Source organism: Homo sapiens, chromosome 17 (genome assembly GCF_000001405.40).
Source record: "Homo sapiens chromosome 17, GRCh38.p14 Primary Assembly".
NCBI classification, from domain to species: Eukaryota; Metazoa; Chordata; class Mammalia; order Primates; family Hominidae; genus Homo; species Homo sapiens.
Window position 1 is genome coordinate 40,624,330 of NC_000017.11, and position 23,489 is coordinate 40,647,818.

A 23,489-nucleotide genomic window follows, 5' to 3' on the forward strand; every position below is an offset into this window, starting at 1 on the left:
CTGTACATTAAAAAAATTAAAAATTCTAAAAAAGAAAACGGAAATTGTCTTCTGAAAGGATCTCAAGGAGCACATGTCTTGAAATACCTGAAGATCTTTTACTTGGAAGGTGATGACATGTACTCTAATTGACTTCAAGTTGTGTAAGAGGGAGGCTGAAATTATAGGAAGACAGATTTTTAGTTCAGTGAGAGGAAATACCTTTAGTGAACTAAAGAAGGAATGAGCTATCTTAAGACATGATGGGCTCCCCAAGACTAGAAGTATTTATTTAAACAGAACCATGACGACCTTAGGGGACCTGGGACCAAGTGCTAGACGGGTGTGGAGGTGGCTGACCGAGGGTCCTTGCTGCCCCTTAAAGTCAAGGAGTTTAAGGCAGCCTTTCCTTTCTTTCAAGTGGCTCCTCAAAGGGAGCCATTATCTGCAGCTACTGTCTCAGTTTTATGTAAAGAGTATTTATCATTTGGGAATTTCCCCTCCCCATATAATACTTTTGACTCCTGAATGCATGCAAAAGAGCTGTAAGAAACTTTCTGGTGCTAAATGAGAAAATGTGTGAACATAAATGAGCTAGTTTAACTAAAAGTTCACCAAAATGTATTTTAAACATCAGGCTCTTAAAAACTCAATAGTTTGAAATTTGCATTTTAATCAGCGTTTGGCTAACAATATGAGATAAACTATTAGAGAAGTGTAGGTCATTCTGGCAAATAGAAAGTTCCATCATTTCACACTTAGAAAGCTGCCACGAAGAGCTTATTCTTGGAGTATAAAATGCAGAATTTAGGTTAAGCCAGTCATTTTGTAGATGAAATTGTACACTGGCAATTTCTTATGGTTCAACCTAATAGTAAAACATTTATAAACAATTGTATCATTACAAATACATTTAGACATCGTTTTCTGCTAAACTCAGTATTTTCCTTTCCATCCTGATCAAAGAAACATTATTGCAGTAAGCCACATTATAATTCAGCACGATTTCTTCTAAAAAGGCTCCGAGTTCCTTTGAGCTTGTTATTGTACAGTGGATTTTTCATTTGCAAAGACGTTAAGCCCTCCAAATGTGCAAATCATGAAGTCAGTTGTTGTTCCAGCAAGGTTTGCCCAGCGGTAAAAAACAAGATAAAACTAATGCACTAGCTGAAACCAGGTGGGGAGACCATGTGTGGTAGTGCTTGGGGGTGGAGGGAAACTATTTCTGAAATGAGGACTTAAAGTATAATACCAGCTTCACTGCCTGTTCACGAGAAACCAAAGCTTCAATTTAACTGCAGGCAATAGGAGTTTCACACTGTCAGCACCAACTGTCTAAAATCCAAAACTAGTATCTAAATGTGTAGGATCAAAACCAAAAATCTGGAGGGATCTAGTTAAACTTCAATATGCATGACCCCAGATTCCCCTTTAAAATATAGTCCAAGTATTTTATCTTTTCCATAGGGCATTGACATTATTGTGTTAATGTGAAATAGCTATTTACCTCTCCAAACCTCGGCTTTATAGAATAGATAATTATCACATCCTGTAGGAGAGCCATTTGAAAAGACAGCCTTGTTTACAGACAGGAGAAGTTACAGAATTTAAAACTGTTAGAAAATTGGGGGACTATGGGGCTGGGCGCGGTGGCTCACGCCTGTAATCCCAGCACTTTGGGAGGCAGAGGAGGGTGGATCAGGAGGTCAAGAGTTCGAGACCAGGCTGGCAAACATGGCAAAATCCTGTCTCTACTAAAAATACAAAAATTAGCCGGGCGTGGTGGCGGGCGCCTGTAATCCCAGCTACTCAGGAGGCTGAGGCAGGAGAATTGCTGAAACCCAGGAGCTGGATGTTGCAGTGAGCCGAGATGGCGCCATTACACTCCAGCCTGGGCAACAGTCAGACTGTCTCAAAAAAAAAGGAAAATTGGGTGACTATCGAGGATTCCCCTCTCCCATTTGTTAAAAAAAATTAACAAAATTTAGGCCCTCAGACTTTATGCATTCATACTCAAAATAAATGCACTAAAAATCAAGGAGCAGTAAGGGCACCAAGAAAGAGCAGTTTGATCTATTTTATAATTAAAACAGGCTCGAGTTCAAGCTACTTGCCCAGCACCTTTTGGGACATGGGAAAAAAACAAAGACCTCTACCATATCCCACATTCTCTAAACTGAGAACCATCTCAAACATCAAGTCTACATATATCACTCTGACCAAGTGGATTTTTACATCAATCTTCCCCTGCTGAGGTTCAGAGCTGTCAAATCCCAACTGAGGCCGGGCACAGTGGCTCACGCCTGTAATCCCAGCACTTTGGGAGACTGAGGCAGGCGGATCACCTGAGGTCACGAGTTCAAGATCAGCCTGGCTAACATGGTGAAACCCCATCTCTACTAAAAAATACAAAAATTAACCGGGCATGGTGGCGAGAGCCTGTAATCCCAGCTGCTCTAGAGGCTGAGGCAGAGAGAATTGCTTGAACCTGGGAGGTGGAGGTTGCAGTGAGCTGAGATCGCCACCACTGCACTCCAACCTGGGCGACAGATTGAGACGTCTCCCATCTGACTTAATTCCCTCATCAACTGATTGCCAGTGTTGTATGGACAGGCTTGGTCTGGATAGACTTGTCTTCCCACTGCTATTTCCAGCCGGGCAAAAGAACCACTTCCATTCTCTTAGAGCTTTCGATACCACAGTAAATAACCTGGTATCTTGCTGGGGCAGTTTTCCACCCATATTAAACTACATCTGCCCCATTTTGACTACTAGAAAATGTATCAAAGAGGCTGTCCAATTTGTCTGAGATGAGATGGCTGAAGTTCTTAGCCAAATAATGGCCAAAGCTCAAAACAGATCTATTTGATACAAATTCGTTCTTTGACACACAAGGAAACAGATGTCAAGAGTTGTTTCCACCCAGTATCAAGCTTCCTCCCCTCCTCTCTCAGGAGGCTGAACACACATTCCTAGTCACTAATGTGCTATGAACTGAATAGCAGTGAATCCACTTAAATTAACTCATGCTGGTACAGAGTCCTCTCCATATAGGCACAGGACTTAACATTTATCATTTAGCCATTCTTTCAAAGATAATTCAAACGTTACAGATTTCTCCATATTCCTGTTAATGTAGAAACATATTCCCTTTACTTTTGGAATCAAAGACCAACTTCCATATGTGACAATGACTATAATGTAAGAAAACTGATTTTCACAAGTGTCTTGTACAAATAAGCTACTGCAGCAGTTTATAGAGATAGTTGGGTGAGACAAGGGCCCTGAGTACACAAATTTATAATGGCTGAGTGGTCATTCCACACTGTCACTGCATTACAGAAAAAAACTGGATGCTTGTCTTGCATACAAATATGTAGTGCATTAAAAACACTGAGACCTTTTTTTCATTTTTTTTTTTATTACATTTGGACCTTTAAGAAACATATACCATCAGATATACCACTATTCAGTAAAAATCTATTCTAGTTTTTGGGAAGCTTATGTGTCACAAACTATCTTGCTTCTAGTCTCCAAGACTTTACTAAGTTTATCAAAAAGGTGGGCTCTGGTCTATGGGATCCTGAGCCTTGAGGTTTGGATGTTCTGATTATTGTAAAACAATTTCAAGTGGATTAACTTAATTCCCAGCTGTTTTTCTTCTGGAATGGGCTAATCAGTTTGAATTATCTAGTCCATTACAAGAATATTAAATTCCTTGAGCTTTGTGATCTATTCTGTCTTTGGAAAACCTGGTAAAAAAGTAATTTTTTTTCTATACAATAAGGATGGATTTACCAGAACATACCCAGTATTAATCATAACAAAAAGCAGTATAGATAATGTATATGTGCTGTGTTCACTTTAATAACCACTTCATAAGTAACTACTCTAACTATGGGGACTATTTCTGGATCAGTAAGATCCAAGTGTAGTTAGTTACACACTACACTCAGCTTAACACAACTCTTGGTATCTGACATTGATTAAAAGTAAAAAAGGGTAAGTGAACAAATACATACTCATACATGATCACGTTTTTAAGAAGCTACCCTTTGCAGAAGTAAACAAGAGAGGAGACTTTCAGGAAGCTACTGATGGGGACTGGGAAGGTTTAAAGCTATGGCTTTGGTAAGCACCCCAGTGAGCTGTAGGAAGGCATTGTAAGAGTAGATTCTGCAGCATCAAAGGATAATTCTCTAAAAGAGGTGGGTGTTTTCTCAATTAATCTAAATTCTGAGGCTTTCAGCAGTTGAGGGCTAGAAACAAGATCCAAAGAAAAGAGCCATCTTCACAACACTTAAGAAAGGTGACTGACTGAGCCATTAGGCTCATGATGCTAAATGGTCCAAAAGCCTTTGGTGGTGTGATATGGACAAGAAAAAAAATTAATACACAAACCACGTAACACCATTAAAACCAAAAAACATTTTTTCATTAAAAAAAGTATTTAGAACACACAAAACAAGGCAACACTTATTCTTTTTTCTCATCTTCTGGTATGGGATCTGTTGGTGGCTCCTCCACTGTTGCACTGTTGCTCTCCGAGCCAGTGTTACTATCACTGGTTCCTTCCTCTGCCATACTGTCGACCCCCTCCTGCCCACTCTCCTTGTCCTCAGGAGTAGACGTGCCTTCTTCACCATTCTGTTGGCTCTCTGTTGTTTCTTCAAGGTGTGTCTCCTCTGTAATCACACATTTGTCACTGTCAGTTCCAAGATGAAATTTTACTCTAGTTATGCTGACAGTATACAGCTGTGCTGTCCAATATAGAAGCCACTAGCCACATGTGGTTATTAAACCCCTGAAATGAACCAGTGTGACTAAAGAACTTTTAAGAATGTTGGAACAATTTGGGTATGAAAATCTACTTTTTAGCTGTAAATGAATGAAATTTATTAAATAAATGCAGATCAAATACTTCCGATGAAAATTTAGCTTCTGAATTGAGATGTGTATAAAGACTGTTTAAAAAAAGGAAAGCTGATTTTAAAAATGTTCCTTCTGTGTTGAAATAATTTTATTTAGGATATGTTGAATTAAATAAAACATATTGTTAAAACACTTGTTTTGCTTAACTTTTAAAAATATGTCACTAGTAGAAAATATAAAATTTCACGTGACTTGCATTTTATTTCTGTTGGACAGTGAATGAGAGTTAGTCTGTAGTGCTATGGATTAAACGAGGAGAAAGCAGTTGTAGAAATAATATAAGGTTGGTCTTTTAGACACTTTGTTTAAAGTCATGCTGGGCTGTTTCCTGTAAGAAATTAAAAGCATGAGGTTTTAGCTCTAATAGTCTCAAACGATTTTCTTCAGGTTTTTTCCTTGAACTAGGACAGAATCTGAGTAAAGACCTGCAAACCTTAAGCATAAGACATGCCCCATTCATAGATGCCAAAACAGAGGCAAAGGACTGAGTGTTTGTCTAGTTGCAAAATTAGCAAAAATCAGTTATTTTAATTTTCAAGCTCGTTTTAACCACAAAAATGTGCTCATGCTCCAAATTCATTACAATAAAAAACACATTCATACAAAACAGAAAGAGACTCAGATACTGAAACTTAAAATATGACCATTTCAAATGTTAATCTGCTGGATTAAATTTTGCAGAAATACCTGGTAAAGATATCTATATTCCATTACATGTTTTCCAGATGGTTGTCATCTGAGTACCAAGTATGACTACTGTCCCTCCCACTTCTTGCAACGATGCTCCAGGAAGCCTTTGGTTTTGTTTTCCATAACTACTTTTAGCTTAGTCCTGTTTACACAGTGTACTAGGCAGTGTTAAAACAGTGCCATGAGGTAAGGTGATCTCAAAATTACAAGTGACGATCAATGTAATCAGTACTTTATGTAAGTTTTATTTATACAAGTTATTATTATTATTTTTTACCTTGAGGGATGCTTTTAATCAGGAAAATCAGTATACCTAGAAGTAAGGGTTTTTCTAGGACAGAGCTGGCAATTTTTTTCTGTAAAGAGCCAGATAGAAAATATTTTAGACTTCGCAGGCCAGGCAGTTGTTGTTGCAACTACTCAACTATACTGTTTTATCCCCAAAGCAGCCACAGACAGTATGTAAACAAACAAGTGTGGCTGTGTTCCAGTTTTATTTACAAAAACAAGTGGTGGGCAGGATTGGCTTACAGGTATTACTTTGCAGAATGCTGTCCTAGGACACCAAAGACAATTAATCTTAACGGTAATAACCACATCTTGATAAATAATGTAAGCATTTAAAGGTTAAAATACTGAATGTCAATATCATGTCAAATTTAGTACTGGGAATCACCCTCAGTGGCAGGTACCAGAATACTTGCACTTAGAAAGAAAAACCTAAATTAAAGACAGCCGTACAAAGTCTTGGCACTGCCTCTGCGTTTGTTGCTAGTGGGTTACCTGTCTCCATCGGAATGTTCTCGTCGTCTTTCTTCTCCTCGCCTTTGTTAGCTGCTTGTTCTTCCTCAGGAACGATGCTGCTCTGACTGCGCTCAGCTTGCTCTGCGGCCTCCTTCTCCCTTTCCTCCTGCCTTTTGCGGGCCTGTTCCTCTGCCTGTGCAATCTCAGCTGCAATTTTCTCCATATCCACTTCTACTTTCAGACCGCACAACTAATCAGAAAAAAACAGAACTCCGTAATGTTTTTTCCTTATAATTTTTGAGCCAGATATATTCTTTCAAAAGTTGGTTTTCTTGCCTATAAACTATATATATATATCTATACACCTGTATGTGTGTGTGTGTGTGCCAAAAAAATGTGGTTCTAGGTCTTCTCTGAAACTCTTGGGTCTACAAGAAAAAACAGCAGCTCTAGCAGTTGTATAATATAGGATATTCCAGAGCAGCTGGTGAGGCAAAATAGTGAAAGTTCTGGGGTATACATAAGGCTTCCGTTTTACATTTTGGGCTACCAACTAGATTTCCTTGTCTGAATGCAAAGTGCAAATTATAAATTACATTTAATGACGACATTTGATGAATAAATCACAATAAAATGAAAGTAATTAATGACTGTATGGGAGTTTAACATATCAGAGGGCTCTAGCATTTACAGGCCTAGAAGATATGTGTATACTCTATGATATTTCAAATTTATTGCAATTTTGCCAGAGAATGGGAACAATCTTATAAAAAAAGGATCCTACAGGTTTATAATAAAGTTAGCCCTGTTTCAAAGTGAACAACATTCAATAAAAACACTATTTTGGAAAAAAGAATGAGGAAAAATAAAGTAACAGGTATAGTGATAAAAGTATAGTTAACATATTAAACAGATACCCTTTTAAGTTCATTGTTAAATGAATCTGTGCTTTCCAGGAATTTCCTCTTCTTCTCCTGGTGTCGTTCCTCTATTTGAAGAAGTTCAGCTTCTAGTTTTCGCTGCAAGACAGGATCAGGCTTCATAATTGTGTCTCATTTTTTAATGGTCCATACTTTCAAACAGTGTACCAAATAATGTTTTGAACTTTAGATCATTTATCACATGAGTCTAGCTAAGATTTAAAAAATACAAAATGCAGCACAAAGAAATGATTATGATCAATAGGTAAATGTTAAAGAATACTGTTTCAGGCCTGAGCAATTCCTTGGGAAAAAATATTTAGCATAGCAGTAAAGATTGATAGGATGCCTCAAAATTCTTAAGTTCACACGTATTTCTTAACGAATATACTTTCCATTACAAGGTTCTATATTATAGTTTTTAATGACAAACTTATTAAACATCTGGGAAAGGTCCACTTCCTTAAACCTCTTCTCCAAATCAGGAACAGGTTAGATTGACATATTTAACAGGTAGATTTAGGCATGGTGTAGGAATCATATCACCTGGGATTTGTGGTATAGGCACATCTTATTGAAATGAATGTTTTATGACTTTACCTGATGAACCATTAAGGACTGGACCTGCCGTTTGAGGACCTGCATTCTAGCTGTTGTGACAACTGACCGAACGTCTGGCACCACACTCTCACTAAGAATTTCACTGATGAGGCGGTGGTTTCTCTGGAAACGGGCGGTGGCTGTATGCTTCATTGAAAAGCCATCATCATAATCTGGAGTGAACAAATTGTTCTGGAAATCAGGTCACCAGTAACCATAAAAAGGAGTGTAACAATGTTAACACTTAATTACCAACGAACTATGGCCCTCACTGGCCTAACAAGTGGACCTGCCCAGCGTCATGGGAGCACTGGGGCAGTTACTTGATAAAAACCATACAGAGGACGTAATGTGTTCATTGGCCAAGGTAGTAATTTATCTCACAGTCTTTAAGTGATAATGTTGTGTCTGAGAAGGATTTGGCTAAAACATAAACGAGATACAACATGTCTCTTCTGGCTTCGGAATCAATGTGAAGGCTGTATGTGATGGCAGTAATTGAAATTCTGCCCAATGTTTCACTCTCTTGGTAGTAACTTAAGGCATTTAACAACTAATGAACAACATATGAACTGGGCAGTGACTTTGTCACTTGTAGCACTTTAAAAATGAATGAAAATGCCCATTTGTAAAATTATGACAGCAGAGAATACATCACCTCTAACAATATTCAGTTTCCCAGGCCCTCAAGTAATTTTATAGAAGAAAAATAAATGTCTGATTCCAAATTTAATTTTTGTCAGTTTACACTTAGCCAGCTGTTGTCAGTGTGTAATGGTATGACCCAAGTTCATACAGTATGGGTCTGGTTTATATGCTTCTGTTTCGTTTTGAGACAGAATCTCCCTCTTGTTACCCAGGCTGGAGTACAGTGGCCCAGTCTCAGCTCACTGCAACCTCCACCTGCCAGGTTCAAGTGATTCTTGTGCCTCGGCCTCCCAAGTAGCAGGAATTACAGGCGCATGACACCACGCCCGGCCAATTTTTGTATTTTTAGTAGAGATGGGATTTCACCATGTTGGCTAGGGTGGTCTTGAACTCCTGACCCCATGTGATCTGCCCATCCTGGCCTCCCAAAGCGCTGGGATTACAGGTGTGAGCCACTGCACACACACTACAGGCTTATTTTTAATAGCTATCTAGTGTTTCCTTAATCTCAGTCTTTGCTCTATCACCTTCATAGTTTTTCATATATCTACTAACAGCCTGTACTATCGTTTACTTAATATTTTTCTTTAAACTAACTCACTTAAAAAAAAAAAGAGCTTTCTCTTTAGTAATACATATTAAAACAAACGCTCCTCTCTGAACCACTTAATCACCTCAGTGACCCACCAGACAGGGAGGAACCACACTTAAGAAAACCTTGTTACAGGGGAAACCCTGTTACAGAGGCCTATGTTGCGCTGCTATGTCAGTTTAGCACCTCCCTTATTGTCTGGCACTTAAGTAGTTCCTAAAATTCTCATTATTATAAATACTACAGCTAAAAACTGTTGTTTTTGTAAAAAGTTAAAAAAATTACTTTTGTTTCCTTTTGAGTAATTTCTTTAGGAAATAAACTTCTGAAATTAAAACTACTGGGTAAGATACAGTTTTTTTAAAACTCTGTAACCTTTCTACTTTTTAAGAGTTTTTCACCTTTAGGGTTATATATGGTACATCTGTGCTACATCTGTCTAAGTTATCTGTTTTTGTTGTTAGCTTTTGTTTTCTTCTTTCATTTATATGGCCCCAGTGTTGACCACAGATGGGGACATAAGGTCTAAGCAATTTGGGCTTGTTCTTCTTTGCATGTTAGTCGTCTGCTTCCTTTTTTGGGGGAATGGCTTCTCTGGTTATGATCTAATTGAACAGCTATTTATCCTATGATGAAGAGGCTCTCACTGAATAAAAGCCTTCATTGTCTTGTGTGGATAATTGCACATGCCCTCTTTTTTTTTTCTTTTTTTTGAGACTGGTTATTGCCCTGTCATCCAGGATGGAGGACAGTGGCATGATCATAGCTCACTGCAGCCTTGAACTCCTGGGCTCAACTGATCCTCCTACCTCAGCCTCAGCTGGAGTAGCTGGGACTACAGGCACAAGCCGCCATGCCCAGCTAATTTTTAAGTATCCTGTAGAGATAAGGTCTTGCTGTGTTGCCCAGGCTGGTCTCAAACTCTTGGCCACAAACGATCCTCCTGCTTCAGTTTCCCAAAGTATTGGGATTACAGGCGTGAGCCATGGCGCCTGGCAATGTCTATCTTTTGATAGTCCTCTGTTAAAGAAGTCAGTAGCTGTTGTACTTCATGCAGATGCCACCTTTCTGTTATGTACATTTGACATACATTTCCACCTCCCAAGTATTCCTCTTTCTAATCATTTTCGTACTGGTATGCTAAAGACATTCTCATATTGGCATCTTAATTGCTACCTGAATTTACTAGCAACTTTAAGACCCAATCTGAAAGTTAAAAACATCATAGGCCCAAGTTTCAGACTGTTTCTGAGTGAATCTCTTTAGTCCTTCTCAGTGTTCATGGTGTTAATGAAAGCTTTAGTTATTTTCTACTTACGTTGCTAGCCTTTGTTTCCTCTTGTACTGACCTCCATCCTCCCAATATCTGTAGACTGGATTGTCTTCTGATTTTTAGTTCTGTATGTTTCTCTTGCATTAATCACCCCATTTGAGTAATTAAAGTGTGAGGATGCTAGTGTGTCTTTAGCACTGCTGATTCTGCTTAACATTCAATACTGTTTCTATTCCATATTCTATTCTCTATAGTATTACATTCCACTGTCTGTATTTATGAGAACATTTGACAATATTCCAGTACATTATTTTTAAAAATGACTTCTGTTTTTCCCCACTTTTATCAACTTATTCTTGTCTTCAGGTACTATTATTGCTTCCTCCCTCATTGATATTGTCTTTAAAGTTCTTATAGCCTTCCTCTTTGTTACTGCTACTTTAAGATGGGATCTTAAATCATTTTCCTGATGTTCTTGTCGCTTGCAGCTAAAGCTTCTAACCTTTTGCACATCATAGCAGTATACAGAGAAACTATTAATGTTTATACAGCACACTAGATATGTGGTTGAGTGTGTTCACACTGCAGGTGGCTATCTCTGGGTCTCCTCGCAGCTTCAGACCCTGCCTGGCTGCACAAGACCAGAACAATCAGAACACCTGCTAACTACTCATACAGAATGGCAATTAGGAAGCTCTGCCATTCGTGTGCATGTATACAATTTGTATGGGTATACCCTCATGTACACCCATACAAATAGTAGCATGAGCTATATTTATACATTCTTATTGGATTTCTGAATTAAATGGAAAGGAAACTTCATGTTTCCACATACTCATTAGCTTCTCCCTTAAGAGCCTTTAATTCAGCGAATTTAGTGAACCAATAAGAAAACAAGATATAATTAGAATGCATTTAGCTTTTTAAAAGCAGATGAGGCAAAATCCTGATTGTGATTTAAAAACCTTTCGTGCATTTTGAGTACAAAGATTTTGATAAACAATCAATAATTTTTGCTATTTTCTGCACTGAAAAGGATATTTCTTTTTCTTGTGGGAAATTCACATACAAATCTTACTCAATATAACCAAAATACTAAGACGATACTTAAATTATACTTTCTTTTCCATTTAGGATAAGAAATAAAAACTTATACTTAAGAGATTTCTCATATCTTAACTCACAGAGAAAGCATAAACAAAACCCCACTTTTTTTCTTTTACCATCTGGATCTTCAGCAGGCTGAATGCTCATGTACGGTTCTCCTTTCTCCATGCGAGATTGTCTCTGTCGACTTTCTTCCTCTAAAGCAGCTTCTGCACGACTTTTTGCATTTATGTAAGCAAGGTACGCGGGGGAATTATGATAGGCCTTCATAGATTCATTGTACTCTATCTGAAATTCAAATGTTTTTTGGTTTTATAATTAACATTTTGCAGGTTATAATGCAGACCTATGTTATCTCACTTGAATATCAAAAGATATGATGTAAACAGGGTGTTGGGATAATTATCTCCTTTTTACAGGCAAGAAATCTGAGGCCTTGAGAAACTGACTTGACTCAGGTAGACAGAGCCTCAGTACTGCATCAGTGTTCTGACCAAATCTTATGTTACTTTTATAAATAGTAAGCCAATGTTTTATGTACTTTACACATTATCTATCCCACTGTGAGCCCCTACCCTACCTTTTCTGCTTCGTATTCGTTTAAATATTCTTGTTTTTCTTCATCAGTGAGATCTCGCCACATGCCACCAATAATCTTGCCAATCTCCCACAACTTTAGGTCAGGGTTGGAAGCCTTTACTTGGTCCCAGACCTTAAAAAGAAAACAGATGAAATGTTAATACTGATGTCTAAACGTATAGACCTTTAAAAATAGTTTTTAATGTGGAAACTTTTCAACATACAAAGCAGAGAAAACAGTATCAAATTTCTAGGTACTCATCAGCCTACTTCAAAAATTATCAAGAACTGGCCAATCTCAAGTTATCTTTGCCCTACTGGATTACTTTAAGATAGATCTCAGACATCACGTCACTCACTTATAAATACTTCAATTTGATAAGCAAGAATATCTCCAATCACTACAGACACTTAGGATGAGTTACTTCAATAACATAGTCTACGTCTCTAAAAGTTCATGTGAATTTAGAAGAAAAGTGCTTAATTTGCATAACACGGTACATCATATTATCAAATACAAATATAATAGTCAAGATCAAAAGGTTTAACATTTCTAGATAGTGGTTATAATGCTCTGCCTTTTAATAAAGATATTGGCTACTTTTTTTATTTTAAGAGTAATGTAGGCTCATCACCAAAAAAAAAAAAAAAAAAAGGAAAACTTGAGGAAAAGAAAATAAAAACTACCATAAGCTTACTGCTTAGAGATAATTATTGTCTTCTGTGTTTTCCCCCTTCAAACTAACATGTGGTTGCTATTATTTTTATAAAAATGAGATATTAATTCATGTAGTCTTGCAGTCCTCCTTCACTTAACATTTTCCTCACGTCATTAAATATTCTCCAAAAGAAATGACTTTAATGGCTATAGAACATTCTATCTTAAGGATTTTAACAGTTTATTTAATCACGCTCCTCTTGTTGGATTTTAGTTCTGGAATTTTGAAATCAGAACTAATTGCTTTAAAAACCGTATTTTTTTGGACCTTTCCTCTGAATATGCACAGAAAAGCTGGCTAAGCCGATCTAAAGTTGGATGTTAAGCAAAGAAGCAGCAAAGACAGTGTCCTCACTCCTTACCAGGTCCTAAGCACCTACCTTTCTGCTGTACCTCATGTAGGGCATCAGCGGCTTATCTGGTGGCTTTGGGGGTTTTGGAATCGTGATACCAGAGGATGCCTACGAAAGAGTTAAATACATTCATTATTCAACTGTAAGGAGTTCACTGGCAAACTGAAAAGAGAGTCCCTTAAAAAATTCTAATGCGCCTTTCTTCTATTCGTCCAAATATTTTCTTCACTGAAAATAGCTATCACTGCAAATTCAGAAATGTTCAAAAGAAAATGACTTTAAGCACATAATTTTTAAATGTTTTACTTAGCAGTTTATTGCCAATGCTTTGACAACCTGGCTGCAAGAACAAATAAAATATTACACAGTAACCCATACATTGAAAATATATGGTTATATATCAACCGTCTCAAGTTCAGGACATTACCTGGTACCCTCTTATTCTGCTCAATTACCATTACACATACAGTCAACACTTGATTATCTGCAGCAGGATCTGAACCCTTAACACTTACCATTCTCACACTGTCTACAGGGGCCTTAACCTATTAGCACTAGGAATGTACTCCCAACACCACCACAAAAACAACTTCCCAGGTTCAAAAACAAAAACAATTAGTGAAATAACAAACCACCTTACCTCCTTTGCCAGGCTAGAGATTTTATTTCTCTTAAGGTTCTGTCTGTTACCTAGTGGTTTTCTTGTAAAGGGGAATGAGAAGTGTGAATTAAAAGTCACACATTGTTTTGTCCTGAGTCCTAATCACAGTGTAAAAGCAAACAAGTTTATCAGGAACAGAGAAGTGGCAGATATCGGGCCTGATTACGTTATTTTTGAGGTCTTATATCAAGAAGCTCCATTCCATTAAAAATGTTCAGTTTTATGGGAAAGACAGAGGAAAAGGAAAGATGTGATGTACAGGAAAAGAGAGACAGAAGAAAAGGAGGCGGAGGGAAGACTGAAAAATATTTTTTAAAAAGGTAAAGCAAAAATAGGTGAAAGAAAAAATAAAAAAAGAAGGAAAGAGAAAGATAAAGTGATCAGTTTTTCCTGTGGCTTAAAGTCTAGGTGAGATTCCAGACAGCCTCTGGTAGACCACCCAGATAACACCCATCTAAAAGTATCTATTTCTGAACTTTTTAGTCTCCTGTTAATATACATGACTGCATTTGATTAAAGACCCAGAATAAGAAAAATCATTGCTATTTCAGACAATTTGCAAATTTTCAGGAGATCTCTGATATTGACTCTCCCTGCTAGGCTGGAGAAATGAAGTGTTGGCTTTATTTTAATTATCGAAAGACAGGATTGGCAAATCCTTATAGGAAAACTAAAGTAACATTTTGTTCGCTTCCCCTTCTGTTGTTGCTATGATAAAACCCCAGAGATACTCCTCCACTCTGGGCTGGGACCCCAATCATAACCTTATTTTTCATTTGAGGGCTCAGGGATTAGCATGTTTGTGTCCTTTTCCACTATGATCAAGAAATGTTTCCTCTTCCTACAAGGGTCTCTCTCCATCCCTATAACTCTACTTCTTCAAAGCATTTCGCCTTGGAAGCAGTATTTCCTCTCTTTCCATTCCTCCCATGCATTCTTGTCACACCTCATGCTAGTGCCCAGGTAGACAGACACTGTTTTTGGCCAGCAGTGGGTAAGAGAGTGAGATGGCCAGGGGCATGGAAACTGTCAAAAGTGGTAGGATGGGCAGCCAATACAGGGAAACCTGTATCAGGGTCTATAGTTCTTTCAAGGGGAAAGAGAATTCCTATAAGACTAACCTTATGGATTCAGAGGAACAGACACACACAAGTCTGCTTCTTCACACATAAAGTTACTAGAAAGTATTTCCAACTCATATCCAACACAAACCTTCAGAATTCCATGAAATGGATTACAAATAAAGTTGGAATTGTGCCCATAACTGAGGTGGTAAGACCACTGTCAAAATTTTTTGAAATTAAAGAGGTAAAGAATTCTAAAATGCCTATGCTTCCGAGCTTTAATATGAATTAAAACACTTTAAAAACACAGTAGTATTTGCTCTTTGATATTTTTCAAAGAATCACATTTTATATTAATGGAATTGCTATTTCCCCTCCTTTCTCCCAAAGAAAGGTACACAAATCATCTGTATATTGAGACCAGTCAACTTACAACAACAACAACAAAAACCCAAACTAAAAAAACACCCCAAAACAATAATAAAGTTAAATTCCAGATGGTTTTCAGGATAGTAAAGATTTATATCATTACACACCTCCAATTTATTTAACGTCTCAGACAGACATCTTTCTACAATGTCTTAAACATTTCTTTAAAAAAAGCTGAACATACTTTAGACCCTTTCTGGATAAGATTCAATTAGAAACAACCACTGTTTTGCTGTGCTGTAACCCTCTGTCAGATGTCAAAATCTGTTGTTGACTCTTTCAACGGCCTAGGGGCTATGCTTTTGGAGAATGTGTTTCCATTTTTGAACTGTTTCTTTCCTTGCTACTATCAGGAAACCCACCTCTAGCAGCAACTCTCTTTCCAATTTTCTGCTTTCAATTTCCAATGGGGAGGCGGGTAGAACTGTGCTTACAGAAGAGCAAGGTCCTAGGAAATCTCCTATGAATAAAGTTCATGGTTTTGTGAAATTTATCTTGGTTACTCAGTTTTTTGTTGTTGTTTCTTTTGCAATTCTCAGCTGTTTCTCTAGCAAGAACTTATTTAAGAGCTTTCTTCTGGGGCAGAATTTCTATTAATGTACAGAAATAGGCTGTTTTTAAAGACATTTTTGTCTCAATGTGTTTTCACACCTGTACTTAAGAGAATGTTAATCATCATCTGAATGAAGAACTGACTAGGAGTGAATTCCATCTTGTAGCTATCATAAGCACTCCAAAAGGTCTCGACATGCTATACAAAGTATTTACTGTCTGAGAACTACCCAAGTATACTGGAGTCATCAGGGAAACCCAATGTTCTCTACAGCCTACCACAAGCTACTGGACAGGGCTTCACAGATTCGTTCCTTGAAAACCACTAATGCAATCTGCGCACAACAATACCATACAGGAGCTTCCCCTCACCCCCAAAAGTAATGCATAACTAGGGTCATAGTAAAATCAAAATGCTTTTATTATGGTCAAAATCAGAGCCATTGAGTCCTAACAGCTTAAACTAGATATAGAAAGCAGGGCAAGTAGTGTAAAACCTCCACATTTTCTAGGCCCTTCTTCATATAGCAGTTTGATTATACTTCAATTTGGTGTTAAGAGGACAATAATACAAAGTAAATGTCCACAAAGGACCAAAACACCAAATTTTCCATGTCCAACAACTCTCTATAATTAATCTACTATGTAGCTAGTGTCCACGCCAAATGTTCAGTTCTTAACATTCGCCAAGAAGGAATGGGAAGAAACAGATGAGTGACTTCAGATAGGGAGTACACTTTCTCTTCCTAGTCTCCATCGAACAATCTCACTTTTTTAACTGAGAATCCCCCACAGCTACATCCAAGTTAAGAGCAAAATACTTACACAAAACCAAAAGACAAATTACTGTAATATTATAGTTATCATTTCTATTCCATTAACATAGATAATCAAGAGGTGACTGTATAGAGCTATTAAATGCAATCATTCTTGTTTACTGCCCGTGAAAAAATTGCTGCATTAACATTAAGATCCATGATTGATTCCGTTCATTGTTTAAACTGAAATGTTCTTTATCATTTGAAAACCTTGCCATCCATTACACTTGTGAAACAACATGTTTAGGCCAGGGAAAAACATGTATTGATGCACATAAAAATTGTATGCATTGTGAAATGCATACATACACACACTTTGTCAGAATTCTTTTTCAGATACCATGAAATATGCATGGCACATAAAACTTGATATGCTTATGAAGTACATATTATGCAGAAACAATGAAAAATTTAGACAAACAAAACCTATCAAGCTAAGCAATATGCTTATCAAGATAGACATTCATTTGATAGCTACAAGCTTTCAGTTCCAGCTTGACTACAGGGTGAGAGGGCTTTTTTGAAGTTACATTAATAGAAGGCACTTGTTATTTATGAATACAGCAAACAAAAACCAGGTATTAAAAACTTTACAGCCATTCTGGGTTGTATAAATTCTCACCAACACTACATTCCAATGTAGTATTTGACTTTTGGATTTTTTATCTTTAGTAAGTCATTTTTATAATTATTGGCATTTTTTGGTGCTTAAACTTTTTTGAATGAAATTTAAGATGATTCTAAACTAAAAGATTTGAAGTGTATCATCCAATTTTGATATCTTAGGCTGATCACTTAAATGAAACATGCTAAGTTTCAGAAATCCTATCTCTTATACTAAGGATTAGAAATGCACTTCTCGTTGTACATATCTAGTCTGATACTTCAAATTAATTTCATTCAACCTTCACTCTGCATTTCTTTGAGGTGACATTAAAACGTTTTTCTCTTTTTCACTGTAGAGAAATGAGTCTTAGTTAGAAGGTCAACTACTAAATCCAAAAGACAAATAACTATGGGTAGCGATTCAAACTGGTGTACCAGCCAAAAGCTTTCCAGCCCTGAAAAAGCCAGGTCTGAAAGACCAGCCTCTACTAGAAACTCAATCCTTGAGACTAATGCCAATCACCTTATAAAAATGAAAAATACTCTTTATGTCAAAAAGGATATTTTTACCTTAAGAAATTCTGTTTGTTTACATACAGTATAAGCATCAAGTGCTCAAGGCTTTAACCCTACCAACCACCAAACAGAATGGATTTTTCTTTTCTTCTATATACATTCCAGATCTCACTATTTATTTTTTCAGTGTGAGATGCTACAACGAATGTTGAAAATACTCAAAAAGCTAGGTTAAAAAATTTTTTTTAAATGGCTGTGCTTATGATTCAAAAAGACCTAATTCTGAAGGCATTTCTGGTCAATTCCAGTTGTTTGCCGGATGCTGTAATAGTTGATTCTCCTACCGTGACCCGGCTGTTGGTGCCCGGGTTCCCTCCCAGCCTGTAGTTGTTGTAGGCGAGATGACTGTATGGATTGTATCCCACAAACCCTGGTGTGCTGGGCATTTGCTGATGGAAACAAATGAGACAAAAACACGAATGAGAAATGAGCTCAAACGAGGAAAACACAGAAATGAAAAATGATCTGCATATGGCATGCAAAAGCAACCTGAATTTAAACAAGCAATGATGTGTTGTAATTGTTCTTTTTTTCCACTGAGGAAATTAAATATTTTTCTTTCATTGAGAAACCTGTCTGCAGTGTCTTTTGGTTGTTTTTCTCTTTCTTTTTTGCAGGGGCTGGGGGTGTTTGTGTGACTGTGAATGTGTGTTTTGTTTTTTGAGGTAAGCAACACACTGAAGTGTTTAAAACATTCAGGATTACTTTATGGTCAACAATAGGATAAAACAACTTAGCAATATATGAAGACTGAAATAGGAAGGCTTGAAGTGTGATCAACTAGAACTCTGAAAACACTACATGCAAAACAAAATACAATTTATTTGACATGTGGATGCCACCAATGTATTTATCTACTAAAAACAAAAAAAAGAAATGGATCTGATTTCAACGACAGTTTTAAATCATTTTATATAATGTGAGAAATGAGTAGAGACTCAAATCGGGAAGCCAGGATTTGTCAATTGAAAAGAACATATGTTGGATTTGATGGATGTCACATACATGATTTAAAACAAAGACTTGTAAGAAATGCATGGATTTCATTCTGGGGTACTATCTGATCTTTTTAACCCAGTCATTCTTTTATAGGATTTCTCTTCCATTTCTTCTTTGATCCATCTTCCACTGGTCAATCATGAAAACATTTCTGCATTTTGTCTCAATGTGAACTACTTTTCTAGTTTATAGACTTCTTTTTTCATCTAGTTTCCTGATAGCTCTCACCCTTTCAAAATACAACTGCTCATTTCAGCAACAGAACCCTTGGTTTTTGTGAATTATGTGTTGATGTAATCACAAATGGGCTCTTATATAGCAGTAGCCTTGGGGCTAATACAATGACACTCAATGTTCATGAGAACCAAGGCATAATGCATAGAAAGAATATAGTAGAGAGAGACCAAAATTAGGGTATTTTACCTTGTAAAATTCAATCAAAATATGTGACAATTTCATTTTTACATGCAATTAACAATATCGGTCCTTAATTGTATAATGTAAAATACACTTAACACATTCCAACTAAGCTGTAGCTGTTACAAAATAAACACAATTTCCTAAAACATGCCGCTGCACATATCCTTAGTACCCAAAAGAAAGACATTTAAGCAGATATTACATTTGATACTCTTTAGGAGAAAAGAGAACGGCTGATCAATTTCTAGTCTATACAGTTAGAAAAGACGCAAATAAAGCATATTTAAGTAGGCAAAACACAGTTGAAGTATCAAAGGCATGAAAGAAGTGTATATTACTTGCAGCGGTACATTTGGGTGGCAGAGGTGATAGTGGTGATAGTGTTGGTAGTGGTGGTGATGGTGGTGGTGGTGGTAGAAGTAATGGAAAGAAAAAAGGAAGAAGAATAATTCATTTAGTATCCATTCTGTTGGATGTTTTAATCCCTAGTCTTCTATATTTTGTGTGTTAATGTGAAACTATAATGACACAAAAATATAACTAAAGAAAGGCAAAAAAAATTCCTTTTTATGCATAATAAATTATAAGGGGACACTTGGTTTTTGAAATATTTTAATCTCAAAAAATCAAGTTTGTCAAGATGATGCATTGTCAGAGGCAGTATTTTTGTCAAAATGACACCTTCAAAGGTAGCATAAATAATAAGAATCACTGTTCAACATTATGAGGCAATAATGTTATAAAAATAAGGGAACTAAAAAAAAAAAAATGGAAAGCAAAACATTATAATTATACCATTTCCAAAGCTGAAGTACATGGTTAGCTCTTTGAGGTCAGAATCTCAATTGTTCAGCTCCACCTGTATAGCCACTAGCAGAATGCCATGGAGATGGTCATAACAAATGTTCTTCGATTTAAGAAAGAAAACAAAGCAAGCATAGGACTTTATAGTCTACTGGAATTAACTTTAGAGCCTGTATATGACATAAATTGAAATGAGAACATATGGTACGGTATCTCTTTTCTAAAGTATCTCACTAAAGAAAAACAAATTGTTGATAAATGTAACTAAAATATGTATCTGAGGGTTAGTAAATATGAGTAGTTTTTTAGCGGAGAAAACTAAGTTACACAAGGACCTAATTAGTAGTGAAAAGTAGACTAGCCTGAAATTTAGGTGGTGGGGGTATGGAAGGAAGGATTAATATTAAAGAACTAATTTTGTAGAATTTGGTCATGCTAACAGTGTTTTTTTAAAAACAAACAAAACCCCCCCTCCCAAAAAACCAACAAGGAAGCCATTTCAGCAAGACCTGAACAGTTACTGCTAAATCTGTTTTGTGGGTTGGAAAATTATTTTACATGCTGACCAAGCTGGGCCAGAGCTTCCTGGGTGAAAAAACACGTTCACAACTACTTAAAACATATATACTTCCAAACCAATAAAATATAATTTATGGAGTGGAATAAGATTCAATAGCAAGATCTGCCCCATAGATAATGAAATCTTTACTTGAACAGCTTGAAAATATTTACAATGAGTAGTTTCAGAAGCTTTATTGTTTAATATGAAAATTTTAGAGAGAGACAAGAAAGGAGAGAAAAACATAACCAGTTGAAGGTTAGGTTTAACAAAATAGCCAGAATGAGCATTCACTCAGTAACAACTTAAAGACTCTTAATAGTGAAGATTAATAAGAAAGAAATGGTAAAACTTTCACTTATTTCCCATTTACAAAGAAAAAACAAAACAAACTGAGCACAGGAGGTTGGAGTTTTACAGTACTGTTTCTTTAAATGTTGGGGTTGGTTCAAGGAAAGATGCAAATAATTATTTTATTTAGTAGGAAGTGCTTTTTTTTTTTTCTTTTAAGCTGAATTTCATCCTGTTGCTGTGATGATTGAGTGACTGTCACTGGAAGACATCTGGGTTTTTGTATCAAGGCCAGAGTTGGCTATTACATTAACAAGAAAATTAAAACTTACTGTTGCAGGAGCTGGGGTGGGAGGTGGGGCATAAGATGGTCTTTCTGTTTGAAAGAAAATAAATAACTTCTTGTAAACAACTGAGATATAATACTATGCAACAAAACTACCAATGGTCCTGTTTTGAAGAAAAAAAAATGAGAGTATTTTGGAATTCCCACTTGCTAGGGCATTAGTCTCTTATTAACATAGATTGATAAATATAAAAATTGAAACTTACTTGACATTTTGGAAGATTAAGTTCTCAGTTCCTTAAGAATGAATCTGAGACACTAAAATAAAAAAAAAAGGAAAAAAAAAAGAGAATCAAAACTCAGCAAGCATACGAGAATGTTTTCCTAATGAATAGGGTAATTTAATTGGTATTTCTGAGTAAAATTACTTCACCTTAATTCCTAGTAATTAAGCCTTTTGTGTATTTTAACTAGTTCTTATAGGTCATTTGGTTGATTAGAATTAAATGACTAAAATAAAGTACTGGGGATATTTAGAAATGTACTTTCAGGTTTTTTCTTGTGATACTAAGCTACCTCTTGTATGGAAAACATTTTGCTGACGCCATGTAAACATTTCATCAGACTGATACAAGGATGAGAATAGAAAGTGATGTATTATCAGGGTCCAACGCAACAAGGCCTACCAGATACTGACAGCTCCCTGATCAGCAACTGTATCATGCTTTTGGGATAACAATTTTTATTAAAATTAGGCAGCATTTTATTCCTGGAAGCAGTGCAAAAGGTAATTGGTATGACAATGAACTTCACATTCTCTTATAATGGTAAATAGCTTCATAAATGCTGGGAATAAATTTTGAGAGTCTACCTGAAAAACTTTTATTCATCATTCACAGCCCATTTCAAAATTTTTCTCCTCAAGGGAACTTTCTTGATACATTACCTGGGCAGAATTAACTGCTCCCCCATCTGTATTCCTATACAGTTTACACAGATCTATATTATTATAACTTTTTTTTAACTTATCAATATGGCTAGATTGTATGCTACTTGGAAAGAGGGACCATGTCAGGACCTAGCTCAATTCTTAGGAAATTTTTTCCTAGTATTACCAGCTCACAACATAACCAGGCACATGTGAGCTTGTTCTTTACATCAACATACATCACAAATAGTGAGGTACAAAAAGACAAAAATTCATCTTTGGAAAGAAGGCAAATAAACTTCTATGACTATTGGAGGTATTTGCAACCAAACATGTGGAATAGATCTGATTTTTCGCTTCTATTATTAATTTTAAGGAAATTCCCTGGAGCATAAGGAATGAGTCCTGGTGTGGAAAGAAACAGCTCATTTTCTCAATGGTCCAACCTGAGTCTTTCCCTCTTAAAGAACAGCCAGAAACCTTTGACTCTGGTGTAGATTTCCTTTCTGCTCACATTAAGGGAGCTGTCAACATCCAGCAGGCCTCGCTGCAGGGGACCCTGACAACTAACATAAGCTCCCTGTACGTTATACTTCATTGTTAATACTTTAAAATTATTGCTCTCTTTTGCTAGAATACAAAATTTAAGAGTGGGCTTGTACATTTGTCCACCGTTGGATCCATCTTTGGTGCCTGGCATAAAAATAAATACCCGATAAATATTTGTTCAAGAAATACTTTATACGGGGTACGCTTATGACACTATTTCGCTTAACACTCACAAGTACTTTATATGTACAGCTATCCCCATTTTACAGATGAAACAAGGGAGTCTCGGAAAGTTTAAACAACTTGTCTGAAGCCATATGCAGCCAGGAAGTGCCAAAGTTGGGTTTCAAACCCAGGCCAAACTATTTCAGAGCTCTGCTCGTCCTCAAGTCGCTGCCTGAACCAATGGGGGAACCTTCTGCCCGGGTGGGGGGTGAACCACGGACCTGCCTTGCCCACGGCTTCCTGAGGTCGCTCTCTTTGTCTTGGAGAATGTACTTTACTAGCAACTCCCCTAAAACGGGGTATTCACAGGTGCTTTGACCAATTTCGGGGGACTGGCCTTGCCTCCAAGGAGGGGGCCCCAGATGGGACTCCCTCCCAACCCTCGCTCTGCTAGGCCTCAAGGAGGCCTCAACCGGCTCCTGGCTCTGGCCCCACGGCCAAGGCTGAACCCCAGCAACCCCCGGGAACTCGGGGTCTAGCCAAGCGGGGACACCACGACTTGCACCCACCGACCCGGTCCGTCCCACTTGGAAACACTCACCCGCGGGCAGAAAAAGCGCCCGCAGCTCCGGCTTCGCTTCCCTTTG

General features: G+C 37.1%; 1 protein-coding gene across 1 annotated transcript; it reads right to left on the reverse strand.

Annotated features, from left to right (window-relative positions):
* Positions 1-632: 632 nt before the first annotated feature.
* On the reverse strand, positions 633-23,489 carry SMARCE1 (SWI/SNF related BAF chromatin remodeling complex subunit E1). Its single transcript, NM_003079.5, has 11 exons — positions 23,444-23,489; positions 21,467-21,518; positions 21,247-21,290; positions 18,126-18,230; positions 13,163-13,243; positions 12,066-12,197; positions 11,602-11,773; positions 7,866-8,038; positions 7,263-7,364; positions 6,385-6,595; positions 633-4,664 (listed from the first exon to the last, which is right to left on the reverse strand). Exons 2-11 carry the CDS (start codon positions 21,471-21,473, stop codon positions 4,456-4,458), a joined length of 1,236 nt encoding a protein of 411 aa, NP_003070.3. The 5' UTR covers positions 21,474-21,518; positions 23,444-23,489; the 3' UTR covers positions 633-4,455.